At 38.9% G+C, this 19,097-nt stretch overlaps 1 protein-coding gene across 18 annotated transcripts in view, besides 3 other annotated features; it reads right to left on the bottom strand.

Annotated features, from left to right (window-relative positions):
* Positions 1–19,097, bottom strand: part of RYR2 (ryanodine receptor 2) — a 791,805-nt gene that overhangs the window by 534,125 nt on the left and 238,583 nt on the right. The window lies entirely within an intron of this gene.
* Positions 10,777–11,976: an enhancer, noted in NCBI's record as "MED14-independent group 3 enhancer chr1:237451188-237452387 (GRCh37/hg19 assembly coordinates)". NCBI's record gives its function as "activates an origin of replication core promoter dependent on BRD2, BRD4, P300/CBP and CDK7 cofactors, and independent of MED14, by STARR-seq in HCT116 cells {active_cell/tissue: HCT116}" and the evidence as "EXISTENCE:reporter gene assay evidence [ECO:0000049][PMID:35650434]".
* Positions 10,777–12,146: a biological region, named in NCBI's record as "MED14-independent group 3 enhancer GRCh37_chr1:237451188-237452387".
* Positions 11,338–12,146: an enhancer, noted in NCBI's record as "OCT4-NANOG-H3K27ac-H3K4me1 hESC enhancer chr1:237451018-237451826 (GRCh37/hg19 assembly coordinates)". NCBI's record gives its function as "activates a minimal SCP1, AML or CMV promoter by ChIP-STARR-seq in naive and primed H9 embryonic stem cells {active_cell/tissue: H9 hESC(naive and primed)}" and the evidence as "EXISTENCE:reporter gene assay evidence [ECO:0000049][PMID:30033119]".

Here is a 19,097-nt window from a genome sequence, read left to right as displayed (position 1 = left end):
GCAATTTAAAACACATTATGAATTTGTCAGCATCTCCGGGATCCACAGACCTTGGCATAATTAAAGCCCATTAGATTGGTTCGGAGTATAACAGCACCACATGTGCTGTGAAAACATATTCTCCTAAAAGCCCCTAGGAGGATATTAAACATTTACAACCCACAATAAAACTTAGCAGAACATGTCAAAGTATAAAACTTTTTATTAGCCGGCAGTATAACCCACCACTCAGGGATAATATACTTAGATCCAGCCCCTACTATTTTGTAACTTTGAACTAATGGATGTGGGAAAAGCATCTTGGGTGTCTCAGGAAACCTCTTCTGGCCCAGAAGTCCAGCACATCAAAATTATCTTTACAGTATTGAGAATTTTCTCTATTGCAGAGCTTTGATAGTTGTTTCCTGTTCAAAGGCCCCACCTTATAATTTTATTTTGTATAATTCCTTCTCTTATTAACCCACTGAATAACTCAACCTTATAATTTTATTCTTCCGTATTCAAATAGGGTCAGTTTCATCTCCAGCTCTTTCTCTCTAGCAGAAAGTCACTGTCTGGGAGCCACAGTAGAGTGAAAACACTCTGGTCAATGATAACTCTTAATTCTACCATGAGAATAAAGAAGAGGGAAAAGAAAAGGCAATAGCATTTTAAGGATTTAAGCGGAGATTTACTCTCAGTTTCTCATTTAGGCCAAAACCTATGTAGAACTATGAAATGAAATGAAAAAAAAAAAGACTCTAGGAATTGCACTGTTCATAATTTGATCAGGAAAAATAACATTGAGCACATTTAGATATGTGTTGAATAATTTAACAGAGGCATGCATATGATACAAAAGCAAAATAATAATAAATGTTTATTTTTTAGAGAGGGGAGTCTCACTTTGTCGCCCAGGCTGGAGCACAGTAGCATGATCATAGCTCACTTCAAATTCCTGGGCTCAAGGGATCTTCCCACTTCAGACTCCCAAGTATGTGGAACTACAGGTGTGCACCACCATACTCGGCTAATTTTCTAATTTTTTGTAGAAACGGGGTCTTGCCATCTTGCCCAGATTGGTCTCAAACTCCCAGCTTCAAATGACCCTCCAGCATCAGCCCCCCAAAGTGCTGGGATTATAGGCATGAGCCACTGCATCCAGCTAATAAATCTTTAAAAAAATATATTTTTCTGTCATATAGAAAAAATTAAAAATTATTTTATATAAAAAAGTAACATAACTCTGTTATGTTGCTACAGTGGTACTGGTCTCTTGGTGCTGATGGAAGCTCACAGAAATCCAAATGAAGCTAATAGAGCCAAGGTTAAGGATTTTGACACCCTAAGTAAAGAGGATTAAAGAATTTAGAATAATTTGAAAACAATAAAAACTGTGTATTTCAGCCACACATTCCATCTGTAAAGCCTACACCAATGATTCTTTGTCTTTTCATCTTCCTGGACACACATCTCATTGATAATCTGATTTTAAAAATCTATATGCTGATAAATAATTTTGGATATAACATCAAAGAATGGAGTCTTGCAGGCCATCCTTGGATTACTAGAGTCCATGCATGAAACTCCGCCCTCCTGAGTTCAGGAACTGCATCTTAATCTTCCTATGCCAGCACCAAGCACAATGCCTGCATCCAGGTGATGGGAGAGCTGATGAATGAGAATGTGCACCCATGGTTGAGTGATGAATGAGTGACGATGACAAAGAATAACGTGGTTGGTTAAGAGAATGATGTAACTTGTTTCTGAAGGAACAAATGATTCCCATTCCTCAGTAGCATCATTGTAATATTTTTAAACATTATGGCTGGGCACTGTAGCTCACACCTGTAATCCCAGCACTTTGGGAGGGGAGGTGGCCTGATTGCTTGAGCTCAGGTGTTCAGGACCAGCCTAGGCAACATGGCAAAACCACACCTCTACAAAAAAAAAAAAAATACAAAAAATTAGCCAGATATGGTAGCACGTGCTTGTAGTCCCAGCTACTTGGGAGGCTCAGGTGGGAGAATCACCTGTGCTTGGGAAGTTGAGGCTGCAGTGAGCTATAATTGCACTACTGCATTCTTGCCTGGGGAAAAGAGCAAGACCCCATGTCTCAAAAAAAAATTATGTCAACACAAACCATGGCCTTTTCAAAGAAGTCAATCACTGAACTTATATGTGAACGCTCCCAATATATTAGGAATACTCTTTTACAGTGAAACTCTCAATGTGAGTTGCAGAGTACTTTTTAGAAACTGAGAAGACTTCAGTGCCTAAATATTGTTCAAGCTTATTCTGCATCAAACCATCACATTATACTCCCAATTGATGTGGATTCACAAAAAATGTTTTTAAACTGTTTGAAATAGCTATTGTTCCTGAGTTCTAAAGGTGTACTGAAGTCTTTAAGTCTAATACCCACCTTTACTTTTCTTTCCTGTGGGTAGGGTATTACAAAAATGGCAGACGATGATTTTAACTTTCATAGAAGTTATTACTCGTGTTAAACACACTGAAGAGTGGACAGCTTATCTGTTCCTGCAGTTTGTTATAGTGGAGCATAAAGATCACCTTTCCTTATAAATATATAAATTCATGGATCAGCTCAAGGCTTGGTCTTGTTCTTTCCCTCCTTTTCTTCATAAATCAATCTTTGCCCTCGCATTCTGTGATGGAGTTTTCTATTAGTTTTATTTTTTCCTTCTGCTTCCCCATAAGAAATATGACAATAATTATATATGTACTTTTATCGTTTGCTTTTTTGGCAACTGTTTTGTTCCTTTTACATCCCTGATTTTTTCCAGATACATTCATTTGTTACGTCATTTCCAAAATTGTGATTTTATTTTTTGTGTTCATCATCTGCATTTCAATTTTTGCAGCAACAAAATAGAGTTACCACTAAAATACAACTGTATATAGAACTTACACTTTAGTGCCCATATTAAACGAATATGTACTAATGCACTATTAAATGAATAGCCCATTGTTTCAGTTTATTTAGACAATAAGGATTCCAAGAAAGATTTTTATCTTTTTAGAAGACTCAAAAAAGTGTCTGCTTTGCAGGTCATTCTCCTCTGATCTGCCTCTAAATGCCAGAAGTGCTTGACCTGAGCCCCTTTGTCTTCTGTGACTACATATTCCTGCAGGTGATTCTCACACCAACCTGTGGTTTTAAATACCATAATATAACCCAATGACTCTCACATCTATGTCACCAGCCCTGACGTCTCCTTAGACTCCAAGCTAACATCAAGCTGCTTACTTGACATCTTCACTCAGATACCACCAACCTAACAAACACAATCAAAACAGGACTCTTAATAAGTCTGCCTTTCTCTATGACTTCTGCCTTCCTCATCTCAACAATGTCCTCAAATCCAAAACTCTTTAATTCCTCTTTCTCTCTTACCTCTTAAATCCAATCTGACGAAACTTCTGAATCAAAGTATTTCTTTACTACCATCCCTATTGAGTTACTTCATTCTCTTGTCTTCTCCAATCCCCTCTTCATGGAGTAAAATTATTTAGAAACATCATTCAATTCCTATAATACACCACATCCAACAGCTTTCCATTGAATTTAAAATAAAATCCAAACTTCTTGTTCTAGCTTTCAAAGTCCCTGAAAATCAGCCCCCAACTATCTCTTCCACATCATATCTCATACCACTTACCCCCTTCACCTGCTGGACTTCAATCACACTGGCCTCTTTCTGTCTTTGAACAGTCCACACTCATTCTCACCTTAGGGTCTTTGCACTATCTCTTCTACATAGATTCAATGCTTCTCTCTCTAAGCATCCAATGACTGGTTCCTTCTGGCTATCCAGCAAAGAGGCCTTCTACAATAAACCAATCCAATCCAACAGACCCATCACCTTACTTATTTTAATTATCTCCATGACATGCATCACTAATTATTAGCTAAATGGTTTATTTCCTGTCTTTATCTACTAGAATGAAATATCCATGAGATGGTGCACTCTGTCTCGATCTCTGCTCTGTCCCCATGACTTTGGACATTGCTTAGCACGTCATCAACACTCTAAATAGCGTGTTTACTGTGTGAATATAACAAATATATTTTAAATATACACTAAACCTGTATGAATTTTATGGCAATATTTTTTCCTTTTTATAGAAAGCTATCACATATATTAAAAGATCCCAATTACATCTATTCATTTTAGACAATGTTCATAGAGATTCTAGCGGTAAAAATATTAAAAGATCTTATTACAACGTTTAAAATACTCCAGAACTTCATATTACCTATAAATCCTACATAGAGTTAATTATACATTCTGAATTGTTGTATTTTCGGTGATTAAGAGAAATGCAGATAGCCAACATTTCAATGTCTTTTTAAGTTGTCTTGAGTAACATATTTTATGTTACTCCAGATTTAAGGAATTTAATCTGTATTTTACCAGCAATGTGCAATATATCATCAATGACTACCACAGCTTTGTCTCCAAATTTTCTGGGCCCCTTCCCTTTTGTACCAATCTAGATCAGATTTTTCACTGCATTATGATCAAAATTACTGCAAAAAGTAATCCTTCCTCCTTCTGACTTTCCTGACTCATTTTTTTTTTTCCAAACACTGAAGTACGGTTTCTTCTTTTGTTATTTTTATTTTACTTTTTTTGGAGACAGGGTCTTTCTCTTTCACCCAGGCTGAAGTGCAGTGGAGCCATCATAACTCATTACAGGTTCAAATTCTCAAATTCCTAGGCTTAAGTGATCCTCTCATATAAGCCTCCTGAATCACTAGGACTACAGGCACACACTGCCACGCCCGGCTAATTTTTCTCTACGTTTTGGAGAGACGGGGTTTTGCCATGTTACCCAGGCTGGTATTGAACTCCTAGCCTCAAGCAATCCTTCCATCTCAGTCTCCCAAACTGCTGGGATTATAGGCGTAAGCCACCATGCCTGGCCTATAAGTACAATTTCTCAAACATCATTTTATTTATATCACTCCCTTATTCCCCTCCCCTAAAAAAACTGTACCCATTAATATTATTTCAATAACTCCCCTTACAAAGACTTTGTGATCTAGTTAAGCAACCCTTCCTGCAATCCCCAATACCTGTGGGCCAGGGGGTTGGGGGTTATAAGAAACAATCAATGAAACCACCATACACTCCAGAAGCATTATCTATATACTGAATAATTTATATATTTTGAAAATGTATATGCGTGTGTGCATACACACACACATATTTGCAATTGCAAGTATAATTTTAAAATGTATCTGATTAATCAAATAAAATATTTTACTTAAATATGTAATAGTGTTTCTGAATTCATACTAGCATTTTTAGTCATTTTCCATTTTCTCAATAGACACCAAATAAACAACTACAATGATGTACATGAATTAAAGCCACTGTATTGAAAGCCATTGAGATTTGGGTTTTTTTTTTTCTTATCAAAGCATAACTTAGCCTATCCTGAATAGATCAGGATAGCAAATCAATTTTATTTCAGGTACTACTGATTGGTAGTAGCTACCTGGAAAAATGCATTTTTAAAATACTGAGTGGCTGTGTCTAGGAAAATTAGAAAAGGAATGCCAAGCACAGTCAGTCTCTCCATGAACATGGGAGACTGAATTAACTCTTGTGATACTGTGATATAATAAGAAATGTACACTTGCTCACTTCCCCAGTTCCTGAGAGAGCTCCTAATATCCTTCTCGACAGAAGTTCAAGGAGAATATGGAAAATATCTGTTCTGATATTTGGTCTTTGACCCTAGTTCCTGACACAGAGCTCCTAAAATCCCTTAAAATTTCCTAGGTAAAAATATCCTTTTTTGTTCGAAAGAGGTGACTCTTGGTAGGCTCTTGGATAGCCTCAGGATGTTGGCTGGTTGCCAGGGGAAGCAACAATGCAACTGGGGGGTCAGAACTTTAAGCCTTCCCCCAACACATTCCACCCTTGACCTCCATGGAGGATAGAGGGGCTGAAGGTTGACTTGATTACCAATGGCCAATGATGGAATCAACCATGCCTACAAAATGGAGCCTCCTTAAAAACCCAAAAAGATAAGAGTCAGAATTAAAACTAGGTTGCTGAACTAAAACTAGGTATCTGGAGGGTAATGCGCTGGACAGGACATGGGAGCTCTGTGCCTCTTCCCACATTTCCTGCCCTAGGCATCTCTTCCATCTGAGTGTTCATCTGTATGCTTTGTACTATCCTTTATAATAAATAGGTAAACATTAGTAAACTGTTTTCCTGAGTTATGTGAGCTGCTCTATCATGAGGAGGGGGATCATGGGAACCCCTGATTTAAATCAGTCAGACAGAAGTAAAGATGACAATCTACTACTTGCAGCTGGAATCTGAAGTAGGGGCAGGCCGGGTGCGGTGGCTCACACCTGTAATCTCAGAACTTTGGAAGGCCAAGGTGGGCGGATCACTTGAGGCCAGGAGTTCGAGACCAGCCTGGCCAACATGGCAAAACCCTATCTCTACTAAAAATACAAAAATTAGCCGGGTGTGGTGGCACGCGCCTGTAGTCCCAGCTACTTGAGAGGCTGAGACATGAGAATCGCTTGAACTTGGGAGGCAGAGGTTGAAGTGAGCTGAGTCTGTGTCACTGCACTCCATCATGGGCAACAGAGTGAGACTCCATCCCTCAACCAAAAAAGAAAAATTAAATTGAAGTAGAGGGCAGTCTTATGCAGCCAAGGCATCAACTTGAAGAATCTGATGCTATCTCCAGGTAGATGATGATGTCAAAATTGAGTTAAATTACAGAACACTTAGTATTGCTGGAGAATTGCTTGGTGTGTGGAGATAAGCCCCCACATATCTGGTATCAGAATTATTGTGTTGAGTGGTGTCTGAGAGGAGAAGAGAAAAAAAAGACTTTTTTTTTTTCATCAGAACTCTGGAACCCTGACTTTGAGCATAAGTTTTATGCAAATGGAGGCTTATAACTAAGAGACTTTAGTAAGTACTGGCCAGACAATAAATGCAAAGTGCAGCCCGGTCATATCCACAGTTGCAGTACAGTTATCTCGTGCAAACATTCTCAGCTCTTCTCTTCTCCAACATTCCTATTCATCAGCTTAACTACCTTCCCCCAACACAAACTTTGGGTTACAACAACATCTAGGAAAGCAATTTCTTCTGCAGAATTTTAACGTGTAACCTTGAAAATGTAAATCACACAAGACAAAAAATTATTATTCACAGCATCAAAAACTTCCCAGATTAACTTCTTGAGTGTTTGCTGCTTATGTTTAAAATTTTCTGGCTGCAAATCCAGCATAATTTTCCATGGCTATTTTCTGACAGAGTACTTCATCAATACAAAATATATAAACATTCTAAAATAAATACCGATATTCTAACACACACACAGTCAAAGCTAAGTAGGTACCCAGGCCTGATTTCATTCTGCCTGTTCTGAAGTAGGAGCCACTAATGAATTTAATGTTTATCATTAATGTGTACTTTCTTAGGATTTTCCTGTACACACATTTATATATTCTAATATTTTGTACCTATTTTGCAAATTTTAATTTGTAACATGATATAAATGGTATTATACTGTTCATCTCCAATTTGCCTATATCCAATTGCAATTTCATTTTTGCACAATTTTACATTCCTGTAATTGATTCTTGTTGATATGTGTGTTTACAGTTTCACTGTATATACAGTATAACATTGCTTGAATCCACTATACTTTATCAATTTCTCTACTGCCGAACATTTAGGGATCTCTTGTTGGTTGGTAGGCTGTTTTGTGCTTCAAATAGAATTTATTTTTTTACAGCAATTTTATGTTCACAGCAAAAGTAGGAAGGCACAGAGAGTTCCCATATACCTCTGCCCCCTACACATGCACGGCTTCCCCCACTATCAGTATCTTTCATCAAAGTGACACCGCTGTTACAATTGATGTCAAACCTACATTCAGGTATCACTATCCCCCAAAGACTATAGTTTACACTGGGGTTAACCCTTTGTGTTGGATATTTGATGGGTTTTGAGAAATTTATAATGACATAACCACCACTGCAGTATCTTACAAAATAGTTTCACTGTACTAAATATACCCTGTGCTCACCTATTCATCCCTCCCTGCCCCTTATCCCTGGCAACCTCTGATCTCTTTACTGTCTCCAGAGATTTGACTGTTCCAGAATGTCGTATTATGTAGCCTTTTTCAGATTGGCTTCTTTCACTTAGTGACATGCATTTAAGGTTCCTCCATGTCTTTTCACGGATTGATAGCTCATTTCTTTTTATCACTGAATAATATCCCATTGTCTGGATGCACCAGTTTATTTGTTCACCTACTGATGGACATCTTGGTTGCTTTCACATTTTGGCAATTTTTATAAACAAGGTTCTATAAACATCTATGTGCAGGTGTTTGTGGGGACATAAGCTTTTACTCATTTGGGTAAATACCAAGGACTGTGATTGCTGGATTGTACAGTAAAAGTATGTTTAGCTATGAAAATAACTGCCAAACTGTTCTCCAAAGTGGCTGTTCCATTTGCATTCCCATCAAGAATGAATGAGAGTTCCTGTTGCTCCACATCCCCACCAGCATTGGTTGTTGTCTGAGTTTTGGATTTTCACTCTTCTGATAGATGTATAGTGATCTTCTGCTTGTTTTTGCCATTACAAAAAATAACATTGACATGAATACGTATGTGCATGTTTTCATGAGCCCAAGTGCAAGAGTTGGCCTAGGCCAGGTATATTTCTTGGATTGAATTTGCTGGGTCCCAATTATGACCTTCTTAAACATTAGTAGGTATAATCACCTTGCTTTTTAAAGAGGCAGTATCAATTTACGCTTCTAACAGAAATGCATGAGAATTTTTATTGGTTCATATCTTTGTCACCATTTTCCATTGTCAAACTCAAAAGCTTTTGCCAATTTCATGCACAAGAATTTGAATGCAGCTTTAATTTGTGCATTCCTTATAACTAATAATCTTCAACATCTTTTAAAATATTTGGAAGCCATCTGAGTTCTCTTTTCCGTGAAATATTTCTTCAAACATATTGAACATTTTCCTACTTGGATATTCTTTCTTTCTTATTGATTGCTAGGAAATCTTTATAATTTTTGATAGTAAAATTTTATCCACTTATATTTACATGTTGAAAATATCTTCTCCCAATCTGAGGTTTGTATTTTCGTTGTTGGTGGTAGTGCTGTTTTTATGTTGCTCTGTTTTATTTGTTTGCTTTACATACTATGGTATTTGCTGATATTCAGAAGTCTTTAATTTTAATTTAGCCAAATACATCTTTATTTTGCTTTGTAGTTTGTGCTTTTGGGGACTTTAAAATCAGCTTTATTGAGGCATAATTTACATGCAATGAAATTTACCACTTATAAGTATACAACTTGATGAGTTTTAACACTTTTCTACAATCATCTAATCATCACCACAATCACAAAATAGGACACTTCCATCTATTTTATGGAATAAAAACATTTGCAAGTCTCTGCAGTAAATTCCCACCTACTTCCTCCAGCCCTTGCCAACCACTCATCTGCTTTTAGTCACTCTAGCTTTCCCTTTCTATCATTTCATATACATGGAATCATTTGGTATACAGTCTTTAGTGCCCTGCATCTGTCACTTTCCTTAAAGATTTTGCGTTGCATCCATGTTGTTGCACAGATTAATAGTTCATTCTTTTTGTTACCACATAGTATCCCTTTATCAGTTGATGACACTTTTGGTCATTTCATTTCCAGTTTTAGGCTATTGTGAGTAAAACTGCCCCAAACATACGAGTACAAGACTCTGGGTAGAAACAGGGACAAATAACTCTTGGGTAAATAACCATGAGTAGGCCACTATGTTGTATTGTAAACTCATGCTGAATTTTATAAGGAACTGACAAACTGTTTTCCAAAGTGACCACCATTTGCATTGAAATATAATTTTAAGTTCTGTATTACCTACTGGAAAAAACATGTGCAACTAAAATAGTTTTATGCCAAAGTATCAGAAAGTTATGCTGACAAAAAATCTTAGCATTTCCTTCTGTACCAAATTTATCAATAATTATTTATCGATTTTAATGATTTTTCTGTAAAGTATCTGAATTTTTTAATTATGTATAAGCATGCTTACAAAAATGTATCCTTTATATAAAGTATGATATGGTTTGGCTGTGTCCCCACCCAAATCTCATCTTAAATTGTAGTTCCCATAATTCCCACATGTCATGGGAGGGACCCAGTGGGAGGTAATTGAATCATGGTGATGGTTACCCCCATGCTGCTGTTCTTGTGATACTGAGTGAGTTCTCATGAGATCTGATGATTTGTTAAGGTCCTTTTCCCTCTTTGCACAGCACTTCTCCTTGCTGCCATCATGTGAAGAAGGACGTGTTTGCGTCCCCTTCTGCTATGATTCTAAGTTTCCTGAGGCCTCCCCAGCCCTGTGGAACTGTGAGTCAATTAAACATCTTTCCTTTATAAATTATCCAGTCTCAGGTCTTTATTAGCAGCATGAGAAAGGACTAATACAAACTAGTAGAGGATCATCATGGTGGATGGGAGGCAGGACTAGATTGCAGCTCTAGACAGAGCAGTATGTGGGGGCTCGCATTGTTAATTTTAGACCCAGATCAGCTGCAAGAACAAACCAGCAATCCCGAGAGGATCCACAGAGCCTCTGAAGGAAGCGGACTGCTCCTGCAGGACCCGGGAGACCCCCCTAAAACTGTGAGTGCCCCAACCATGGAAGTAGGAAAGGGCGGCCCTCCTCTCCCAAATATACACCCCCACTGGAGAAGCCGAAGGTCTGTTTGCGTGAAAAGTTTACAACTTTACCTGGAGCTGAGTCAATTTGGAGAGCTGAGCAACATACAGGGGGTAAAGGAAGCAGCAGAAAGGCCCTGGGAGCTCGCTGGGTCCCCAAGCACCCCATACCTGCCTGGCACCACAGGGATCCAATGGGAGAGGAGCACGGGGTAAAACTCCACAGGCAGAAGGAAATCTCTAGCTGGCCTTTGTAACAATTTGAATGGGGTGAGAGGCCTCCTGGCCAGAACTCAGGGGAGGGTGCAAATCTAGTGTCCAGACTCCATAGGCAGGGGAGGAACCAAGCCCTTTTATTTTGCAGCTGGAAGGCAGGTACCCTGGGGTAAGTGTTCAAACCCATCACACCCTCCGCCTGGAAACAGACTCAGGGCTGTTGTTGGGGGGCACAGTGGGAGTACGACTGGCCCTTCTGTTTGCGTGGGAGCTGGGTGAGGCCTGTGACTACTGGCTTTCCCCCACTTCCCTGACAACCTGCATGACTCAGCAGAGGCAGCCATAATCCTCCTAGGTACACAACTCCAGTAACCTAGGTATCTCACCCCCACCCCCGAGAGCAGCTGCAGCAGGACCCACCCAAGGACAGTCTGAGCTCAAACGTGCCTAGCCCTCCCCTACCTGATGGTCCTCCCCTATCCACCCTGGTAGCAGAAGACAAAGGACATATAATCTTGGGAGCTCTAGGGCCCTGCCCACCGCCAGTTCCTCCCAATACTACCAGAGCTGATGCTCTCTGGAAAGTGCCATTTCCTGGCAGGCAGCCAACTAGCACAAAAGTAGAGCATTCAGCCACCAAAGCAAAGAACCCTTATGGAGTCCATTGCACACTCGCACCACCTGCACCAGGACAGACACTTGTATCCACAGCTGAGAGACTCATAGAAGGTTCACATCATGGGACTCTGTGCAGACAACCCCCAGTACCAGCCTGGATCTGGGTAGACTCACCAGGTGGCTAGATCCAGCAGACAGACAACAATCACTGTGATTCAGCTGACAGGAAGCCACATCCATAAGAAAAGGGGGAAAGTACTACATCAAGGGAACACCTCGTGGGACAAAAGAATCTGAACAACAGCCTTCAGCCCTAGACCCTCCCTCTGACAGAGCCTACCCAAATGAGACGGAACCAGAAAACCAAACCTGGTAATATGACAAAACAAGGCTCTTCACCACTCCACAAAAATCACATTAGTTCACCACCAATGGCTCCAAACCAAGAAGAAATCCCTGATTTACCTGACAACGAATTCAGGAGGTTAGTTATTAAGCTAATCAAGGAGGGACCAGAGAAAGGCAAAGCCCCGTGCAAGGAAATACAAAAAATGATACAAGAAGTGAAGGGAGAAATATTCAAGGAATTAGATAGCTTAAAGAAAAAACAATCAAAAATTCAGAAAACCTTGGATGCACTTTTAGAAATGTGAAATGCTCTGGAAAGTCTCAGCAATAGAATTGAACAAGTAGAAGAAAGAAATTCAGACCTTGAAGACAAGGTCTTCGAATTAAGCCAGTCCAACAAAGACAAAGAAAAAAGAGTAAGAAAATATGAACAAAGCCTCCAAGAAGTCTGGGATTATGTTAAACAACCAAACCTAAGAATAATCAGTGTTCCTGAGGAAGAGGAGAAATCTAAAACCTTGGAAAACATATTTGGGGAATAATTGAGGAAAACTTCCCTGGCCTTGCTAGAGACGTAGACATCCAAATACAGAAGCATAAAGATCACCTGGGAAATTCATCTCAAAAAGATCTTCACCTAAGCACATTGTCCTCAGGTTATCCAAAGTTAAGATGAAGGAAATAATCTTAAGAGCTGTGAGACAGAAGCACCAGGTAGCCTATAAAGGAAAACCTATCAGATTAACAGCAGATTTCTCAGAAGAAACCCTACAAGCCAGAAGCGACTGGGGCCGTATCTTCAGCCTCCTCAAACAGCCTAGAATTTTGTATCCAGCAAAACTAAGCATCATATATGAAGGAAAGATACAGTCTTTTTCAGACAAACAAATGCTGAGAGAATTCACCATCACCAAGCCACCACTACAAGAACTGCTAAAAGGAGCTCAGAATCTTGAAACAAATCCTGGAAACACATCAAAACAGAACCTCTTTAAAGCATAAATCACACAGGACCTATAAAACAAAAATACAAGTTAAAAAGCAAAAACATATTTAAAAAATGAAGTACACAGGCAACAAAGGGCTGGATGAATGCAAGGGTACCTCACATTTCAATACTAACATTGAATGTAAATGGCCTAAATGCTCCACTCAAAAGATATAGAACCACAGAATGGATAAGAACTCACCAGCCATCTGCTGCCTTCAGGAAACTCACCCAATACATAAGGACTCACATAAACTTAAAGTAAAGGGGTGGAAAAAGGCATTTCATGCAAATGTACACCAAAAACAAGTACGGGTAGCTATTCTTATATCAGACAAAACAAATTTTAAAGCAACAACAGTTAAAGGAGACAAAAAGTAAAGAATGGATTTAAACTACACATTGGAAGAAATGGACTTAACAGATATATACGGAGCATTTCATCCAACAACTGCATTCTATTAAAAGCGCATGGAACTTTCTCCAAGATAGACCATATGATAGGGCATAAAACAAGGCTCAATAAATTTAAGAAAACTGAAATTATATCAAGCAATCCCTCAGACCACAGTGGCATAAAACTGGAAATCAACTCCAAAAGGAACCTTCAAAACCATGCAAATACATGGAAATTAAATAACCTGCTCCTGAATGAGCATTGGGTCAAAAACGAAACCAAGATGAAAATCAAAAAATTATTTGAACCAGACAACAATAATGACACAAGCTATCAAAACCTCTGAAATACTGCAAAGGTGGTGCTAAGAGGGAAGTTCATAGCCCTAAATGTCTATATCAAAAATATTGAAAGAGTACAAACTGACACTCTAAGGACACACCTCAAGGAACTAGAGAAACAAAAACAAACCAAACCCAAACCCAGCAGAAGAAAGAAATAACCAAGATCAGAGCAGAACTAAATGAAATTGAAAGAAAAGAAATACAAAAGATAAAACAAAAAGCTGGTTCTTTGAAAAGATAACTAAAATTGATAGACCATTGGCAAGATCAATGAAGAAAAGAAGAGAGAAACTCCAAATAACCTCATTAAGAAACAAAACGGGAAATATTACAACTGACACCACTGAAATACAAAAGATCATTCAAGGCTGCTATGAACATCTTTACACACATAAACTAGAAAACCTAGAAGAGACAGATGAATTCCTGGAAAAATACAACCCTCCTAGCTTAAATCAGGAGGAGTTAGATACCCTGAACAGACCAATAACAAGCAGTGAGATTGAAATGGTAATTTAAAAATTACCAACAACAAAAATGTCCAGGACCAGACAGATTCACTGCCGAATTCTACCAGACATTCAAAGAAGAATTGGTACCCATATTTTTGATACTATTCTACAAGATAGAGAAAGAAGGAACCCTCCCTAATTCATTCTATGAAGCCAGTATCACCCTAATACCAAAACCAGGAAAGGACATACCCAAAAAAGAAAACTACAGACTGATATCCTTGATGAACATAGATGCTAAAATCCTCAACAAAATACTAACTGAATCCAACAACATATCAAAAAGATAATCTACCATGATAAAGTGGGTTTCATACCAGGGATGCAGGGATGGTTTAATATATGCAAGTCAATAAATGTGATATACCATATAAACAGAATTAAAAACAAAAATCACATGATCATCTCAATAGATGCAGAAAAAGCATTCGACAAAATCTAGCATCACTTTATGATTAAAACTCAGCAAAATCAGCATACAAGGGACATACCTTAATGTAATAAAAGCCATCTAAGACAAACCCTCAGCCAACATAATACTGAATGGGGAAAAGTTGAAAGCATTCCATCTGAGAACTGGAACAAGACAGGGATGCCCACCTGCACCACTCCTCTTCAACATAGTACTGGAAGTCCTAGCCAGACCAATCAGACAAGAGGAAGAAATAAAGGGCATCCAAATCAGTAAAGAGGAAGTCAGACTTTCACTGTTTGCGGATGACATGATCGTTTACCTTGAAAACCCTAAGGACTCCTCCAGAAAACTCCTAGAACTGATAAAAAGAATTAAGCAAAGTTTCTGGATACAAGATCAATGTACACAAATCAGTAGCTCTTCTATACACCAACAGCAACCAAGCAGAGAATCAAATCAAGAACTCGACCCCTTTTACAATAGCTGCAGAAAATAATAATAATAATAAAAAAATGCCCATCTTCAACAAGTGGATAAAGAAACTGTGCTGTGTGTGTGGGGGGGTGTTTATGGGTGTGTGTGTGTGTACATATATATATATATATGGTGGAATATATATATATATACACACACTATACATATATACTACATACTGTGGTGTGTATGTGTGTGTGGGTCTGTGTGTGGGTGTGTGTGTATATATATGGTGGAATATATATATACACACACTATATATATACACACAATACATATATTATATATATTTTATATATATTTTATATATTATATATATGTATATATAGTGGATTACTATGCAGCCATAAAAAGGAATGAATTAACAGCATTTGCAGTGACCTGGATGAGACTGGACACTATTTTTTTTTTTTTTTGAGATGGAGTCTCACTGTTGTCGCCCAGGCAGGAGTGCAGTGGCGCAATCTCGACTCACTGCAACGTCCGCCTCCCAGTTCAAGCAATTCTCATTACTCAGCCTCCCAAGTAGCTGGGATTACAGGTGCCCGCGACCACGCCCGGCTGATTTGTATTTTTAGTAGAGATGGGGTTTCTCCATGTTGGCCAGGCTGGTCTCGAACTCCCTACCTTAGGTGATCCACCCGCCTCGGCCTCCCAAAGTGCTGGGATTACAGGCGTGAGCCACCACGCCTGGCCAGATTGGAGACTATTATTCTAAGTGAAGTAACTTAGTTATGGAAAACCAAACATCGTATGTCCTCACTGATATGTGGGAGCTAAGCTATGAGGATGCAAAGGCATAAGAATGATATGACTTTGGGAACTTCAGGGGAAGAGTGGAAGGAGGATGAGGGATAAAAGACAACAAATATGGTGCAGTGTATACTGCTCAGGTGATGGGTGCCCCAAAATCTCACAAATCACCACTAAAGAACTTACTCATGTAACCAAATACCACCTGTACTCCAGTAACTTACGGAAAAAAAGAAATTGATACCAAGTAGTAAATTAAATATTACTACAAATGTACTATACCAAGACCATTATCAATCTATATAGGATTAAGCATTATTATAGTAACAAATATGAATATTTACTCCAGCAACCTTGAAAACATTAAATTCCTTGAAACAGGAAGACAGTGGCTGTGTATTCTTTGGAGAGTACAGTAGGATATAAAAAGTCAAATGAACTGATAAACTGCCAAAATGGATACATCAATATTATTAGCCTAAATAAGGAAATCCAGTCAAAAATCAATGCACATTTATTGAGGCTCTACTTCCTTCAAAACTGTATTATGTACCTGAGATACAAGATGACTGAGAGGCTGTCTCTGCCTGCAGGTGCTTTCATAATTTGAGAAACGCCAAAGTAAATGTAAAGGGACACATGAGTTAGCAGCAAGTTACGCAGTCAAAGGAGGAATTAATTTTGCTTGAAAGAGAGGAGCGTGGGAGGGAGGAAGAAAAAGAGAAAAAGCGATCAAGTGAATGAGAAAGAGAGGAAGAGAAGGAAATAGAAAGCAACCAGGTAGACAGGCAAGCAAGAAAGAAAACAGAATTATTTGTCATAAAGGAGGGAGATGCATTGTAAACACAGGAAGACTTTACAAAGGAAAAAACATTTGACAGATACCTAAACAATGAAGAGACTTCCTTCAGGTGAAGAACGCGCAAGGGTCTTCCAGGAAGAGCGAGAACAGAGTATATCCAAAGGCATGTCATCTTTTATTAAAACCCAACTGGAGGTTTATACCTCCAGGGTTGTTTATGCATGTCTAAGTGTGCAAATTGGCAAGTGGCAACAGGTGAAATAATGCAATCCACTGTTAGAAAGCTTTCAGAAGCTCCCTTCATCTTTCAAATAAAGTTGTGCTGGTTACATGGCATTTGAAACCTGACTTTACCCCTCAGCAGAACACTTGGGAGTTCCCAGCCACCAACAAATGCTTCTTCTCTATGCCTTTGTTCTCATTCTCCTTATGAAATGCTTCCTTCTATATCACACTCTATTGAGCTATATTCGTATTTTACCCATTTATTCTCTCATCCTTTCAAACATCAAAAACATTCATTAACTTAAGTACCATCTGTCAAGGAGTCCCACTCAAATGCCATCCCTATACTTTCATAAAACTTCACCAGTAGCTCCTGACATAAGTATTCTCCTTCCCAGCTTTAGGAGGGCAAGTGCATCTAACCTATTGGCAGCAAACTTTGCCTCTATCATATCTCTGACAGTTGCTCCCATTTTATTTGTCTAGCTTTCCCTTTAGCAATATAATACTTTCCATATGTTAGAGCTGGGCTAAGCACATCATGGCCATGGACCAAATCACAGCCCAAGAGTTAAGAATGGCTTGCACATTTTTCAACAGTTGAAAAAAAATTGCAAGAAAAAGAAAAAAATATTTTATGGCACATGAAAATATGAAATTGAATTTTCAGTGCCCGTAAGTACAGGTTTTTTGGAACACAGCCATGTTCATCTGTTTACATATGGTCCACGGCCACTTTCACACTGCAATGTCCAAGCTGAATAGAAAACATCTGACCCACAAAACTAAAATATTTCCCATCTGGCTCTATACAGAAAAAAAAAAAAATGCGCCAACTTCTGTGTTAGAGCTTCATTTGCTGCAGTGTGTTCACTCCAGTGATGGCTAAATCATACTCTTAGATTCAGAAAGTATATACTTTCTGCAGTATATACTTTATAGCCAGGCTTCTAACAGTGGCAGCGGGCACTCTGCAGTATATACTCTATAACCAGGGTTCTAACAGTGGCAGCAGGCACTCTGTAGTATATACTCTGTTACCAGGGTTCTAACGGTGGCAGCGGGCCCTCTGCAGTATATACTCCAAGTGTAGTTTTCAGTTTTTCACAAACATTCACTTAATTCAGCTCTGACCATCTGAATTAACAGCTTCTCCTTCCCCTACCCTTAGTTCTGTTCTCTGTTATTACAATGGATACACCATCATCAAAACCACAATCCCTATTCTGTACTTCCACCAGTGCTGTTCCTGTTTGCAATAAGCCCTCAGCATTGTATTTGTGAGAACTAAGGCTTCCAGAACAGAATGGGTCATCACCAGCTTACTGCCTACCAATGCCTGCACCATCTGGGGGGAGTCTGCACTGACGGGATGCAGCAGAGCAGAAGGAAGGAACAAAAACTGGCTACGCACTTTGTAAGCACAGCCCCCTTTGGCTGAAGCTGACAGGTTAGGTGGATTAAAATATCTGCCAATCTTTTTGCAGTGTTTGAGATGAAACTGTGTGCAAGAGGTGAACTCCAGGTAGGTTTTTTCCAACAAGTTTCATCTGCCTTATAATTAATGGAGATCTCTTAGACATCAGTGTTTTCCTAAGTTTTCATGTTGCTTCATTTTCTACATCTTATGAGAAACATAATGGGAAATTAGGAGCTCACCTATGACTACAATGAGAATTCTTTAAAATCTTTTAAAAATTTCCAGAATGAGTCTTTAGTTCACATCATAAGGCGTAAGGCATCATAAGGCAAGACACTGATGTTGTATTCCTCACTGGAGTTTAATTTAGTATAAAATTAGGTATGTAATTCAAGTATTCCATAAAATGCCTTCTATTTTGGGAATTTCAATTATGTCATCTTTGCCCTTTGTGTCACCACTCTACCTTAACTGGATACCAGCATAAATGCATGTTAAAAATACTAAAAAGAGGCCAGGCGTGGTGGCTCATGCCTGAAATCCCAGCACTTTGGGAGGCTGAGGCAGGCGGATCACCTAAGGTCAGGAGTTCGAGACCAGCTTGGCCAACATGGTGAAACCCCATTTCTACTAAAAATACAAAAATTAGCCAGGTGTGGTGGTGCGTGCCTGTAATCCCAGCTACTCAGGAGGCTGAGGCAGGAGAATCACTTGAACCTAGAAGGTGGAGGTTGCAGTGAGCCGAGATTGCACCACTGCACTCCAGCCCGGGAGACAGAGTGAGACTCCATCTCAGAAAACAAAAAAAAAAAAAACCAGTAAGAAGAATT

The sequence above is a fragment of the Homo sapiens genome, chromosome 1, assembly GCF_000001405.40.
Source record: "Homo sapiens chromosome 1, GRCh38.p14 Primary Assembly".
Classification (NCBI taxonomy): Eukaryota; Metazoa; Chordata; class Mammalia; order Primates; family Hominidae; genus Homo; species Homo sapiens.
This window is presented reverse-complemented; position numbering and strand designations above follow the sequence as displayed.